The following is a 4091-nucleotide window of genomic DNA, read 5'->3' on the forward strand; positions in this document are numbered from 1 at the left end:
CACTAGACTCCACTCCACTCCATTCCTTTCCATTCCATAACATTCCATTCCACTCCACTTTATTCCACTCCACTCCATTAAATTCCATTCCTTCTTTCAACAGGATCTCACTCTGCCATACAGGCTGGAGCGCAGTGGCATAATCTCAGCTCACATTTCATTTTACCATTCCGCTGCATTCCATGCCATTCCACTCCATTCCACTCCACTTTTCTCTACTCCATTCCATTCCATTCCATTCCATTCCATTCCATTCCACTCCATTCCACTCCACTCCACTCAAGTCCACTTCACTCCATTCCATTCAATTCCAATGTACTCCACGCCACTCGTCTCCTCTCCATTCCATCCGATTCCATTCCATCCCTTCCATGCCACTCCACTCCATTCCGTTCCTTACCATTACATCACATTCCACTCCACTCCACTCGACTCCACTCCACTCCATTACATTCCATTCCATTACGGTCCATTATATTACATTCCTTTCTTTTGACAGGATCTCACTCTGTCATCCAGGCTGGAATGCAGTGGCACAATCTCAGCTTACATTTATTTTAACGGTTCCATTCCTTTCCATTCCATTCCATCCCATTCCACTCCACTCCACTCAATTCCACTCCACTCCACTCCAGTCCACTAAACTCCACTCCATTCATTTCCATCCTATTACATTCCACTGCATTTCACACCACTTCACTCTCCTCCACTCCACTCCAATCCACTCTACTCCATTCCATCCCATTCCATTCCATTCCATTAAACTCCATTCCATTTAATTCCCTACTTTCTACAGAATCTCACTCTGTGAAACAGGCTTGAATGCAATAGCAAAATCGCATCTCACATATCATTTCACTGTACCATTCCTCATCATTCCACTCCACTGTACTCCTCACCAATCCACGCCATTCCGCTCCATTCCATTCCACTCCATTCCATTCCGTTCCTTTCTTTCGACAGGATCTCACTCTGTTACCCAGGCTGGAGTGCAGTGTCACAATCTCAACTCACATTTCATTACACCATCCCAATCCATTCTATTCTGTTCCATTCCATTCCATTCCATTCCATTCCATTCCATTCTATTCTATTCCACTACTCTCCACTCCATTCCACTGCATTACATTCCACTCCATTCTATTCCATTTCACTCCACTCCACTCCAATCCAATCCACTCCATTTCACACCATCCCATTCCACTCCACTCTACTCCAATCCAATCCATTCCATTCTACTCCCTTACATTCCATTCCTTTCTCTCGACAGGATCTCACTCCCTCACCCAGGCTGGATTGTAGTTGCACAATCTCACCTCACATTTTATTTCACCACTCTATTCCATTCCATTACATTGCATTCCATTTCATTGCATTCCATTAATTGTATTCCATTCCATTCCATTTCATTCAATTCCATTCCACTACACTCCATTCAACTCCAATACACTCCACTCCACTCCATTCCATTCCATTCCATTCCTTTCCAATCCAGTCCACTCCACTGCACTCCACTCGACTCCACTCCTCTCCACTACTCTCCACTCCATTCCAATCCCCTCCATCCCATTGTTTTCCACTTCATTCCCCTCCACTGCACTGTAATCCACTCCTGTCCACTCCACTTCATTCCACTCCATTCCTTTCCACTCCTTTGAATTCCATTCCTTTATTTCTACAGGATCTCACTCTCTCACCCAGTTTACAGTGCAGTGGAACAATCTCAGCTCCCGTTTCGTTTCACCTTTCCGTTGTATTCCATTCCATTCCATACCATTTCATTCTATTCCATTTCATTCCACTCCACTCCATTCCAATAAACTCCATTCCACTACGTTACACTCCATTCACTTCCATTCCAATCCATTCCACTCTATTTCATTCTATTCCTTTCTTTTGACAGGATCTCACTTTGCCACATAGGCTGAAGTGCAGTGGCAAAGTCTCACCTCTCATTTCATTTCACCATTCCATTCCATTCTATTCTATCCACTCCATTCCACTCCACTCCACTCAATTCCATTCCATTCCACTCCACTCCACTTCACTCCAGTCCACTCCATTCAATTACATTCCATTTCATTCCACTTCTATCCATTCCATTCCCTTCTTTCAACAGGATCTCACTCTCTCACCCAGCCTGGAGTGCAGTGGCACAATCTCTGCTCACATTTCATTTCCCCATTCCATTGCATTCCATTCTATTGCATTCCATTGCATTCCATTACACTCTGCTGCATTCCATTCCATTCCACTCCATTCCACTCCACTCTACTCCACTATTCTATACTCCATCCCATTCCATCCCATTCAATTGCAATCCACTCCACTCCAGTATACTCTACTGCATTCCCTCCTATCCCATTCTACGCCATTCGATTCAAATCCACACCACTCCACTCCACTCAACTCCACTCCATTCCATTCCATTCCATTCCATTCCATTCCATTCCATTCCATTCCATTGCATTCCATTCCATTCCATTGCATTCCATTCCACTCCACTCCACTCCACTCCACTCCACTCCATTCCATTCCATTCCATTCCATTCCATTCCATTCCATTCAATTCCATTCCATTTCTTTCTGTCTAGAAAATCTCACTCTCATACTGGCTGTAGTGCAGTGTCGCACTTTCAGCTCACATTTCATTTCAACATTTCTTTCCACTCCTTTCACCTCCACTCCACTCCATTCCATCCCATTGCATTCCACTCCATTCCACTCCACTTCACTGTACTCCACTCCACTCCATTCCATTCCACTCCCTACCATTCCATTCCCCTCCAATGCACTCCACTCCAGTCAACTCCTCTCCACTCCACTACAATCCATTCCACTCTATTACATTCCATTCCTTTTTTTCAAAAGTATCTCACTCTGTCCCTCAGGCTGGAGTGCAGTGACACAATTTCAGCTCACATTTCATTTCACCATTCCATTGCATTTCCTTTCATTGCCTTCCATTTAATTGCAATCCACTCCACGCCATTCCATTCCATTCCACTCCATTCCATTTCACTCTATTCCACTCCATTCCACTAAACTCCACTCCACTTCATTCCATTATATGCCGTCCCATTTCACTCCATTCCACTCTACTCCACTAAACTCCACTGTACTCCTCTCCAATCCATTCCTTTCCATTCCCTTCCATTCCGTTTTATTACATTCCATCTGTTTCTTTCAACAGCATCTCACACTCAACCAGGCTGGAGTGCAATGACACAATCTCAGCTCACATTTCATTTTACCATTCCATTCCATTCCTTTCCATTCCATTCCATTCTACTCTACTGCACTCCACTCCACTCCACTCCAGTCCATTCCATTCCATTTCACACCATTCCACTCCACTGCATTCCACTCCATTTAATTCCATTACATTACATTCCACTCCATTCCATTCCTTTCTTTCGACAGGATCTCACTCTGTCACAAAGGCTGCACTGCAGTGGCCAATATCAGCTCACATTTCGTTTCACCATTCCATTCCATTCCATTCCATTCCATTCCATTCCATTCCACTCCACTCCACTCCAATCTACTCCATTCCATTCCATCCAATTCCATGCCACTCCACTCCATTCCACTCCCCTCCACTCCACTCCATTCCACTCCATCCCATTCCATTCCAATCCATTCCACTCCAGTCAACTCCACTTCACTCCACTCCATTCCATCCCATTCCATTCCATTCCATTCCATTCCATTCCATCCCATTCCATTCCATCCCATCCCATGCCATTCCATCCCATTCCATTCCATTCCATTCCATTCCATTCCATTCCACTCACTTCCATTCCATTCCACACCTTCCATTTGATTCCTTTCTTTTGAAAGCATCTCTTCCTCTCACCCAGGCTGGAGTGTAGTGGCACAATCTGAGCTCACATTACATTTCACCATGCTATTCCATTGCATTCCATTGCACTCCATTCCATGGTATTCCGTTCCATTGCATTCCGTTGCATTCCATTACATTCTATACCATTCCATTGTATTCCATTGCATTTCTTTGCATTCCATTTCCTTCCATTCCTTTCCACTCCTTTCCATTCCATTCCATTCCATTCAACTCCACTGCATTA

This window comes from Homo sapiens, chromosome Y (genome assembly GCF_000001405.40).
Source record: "Homo sapiens chromosome Y, GRCh38.p14 Primary Assembly".
Classification (NCBI taxonomy): Eukaryota; Metazoa; Chordata; class Mammalia; order Primates; family Hominidae; genus Homo; species Homo sapiens.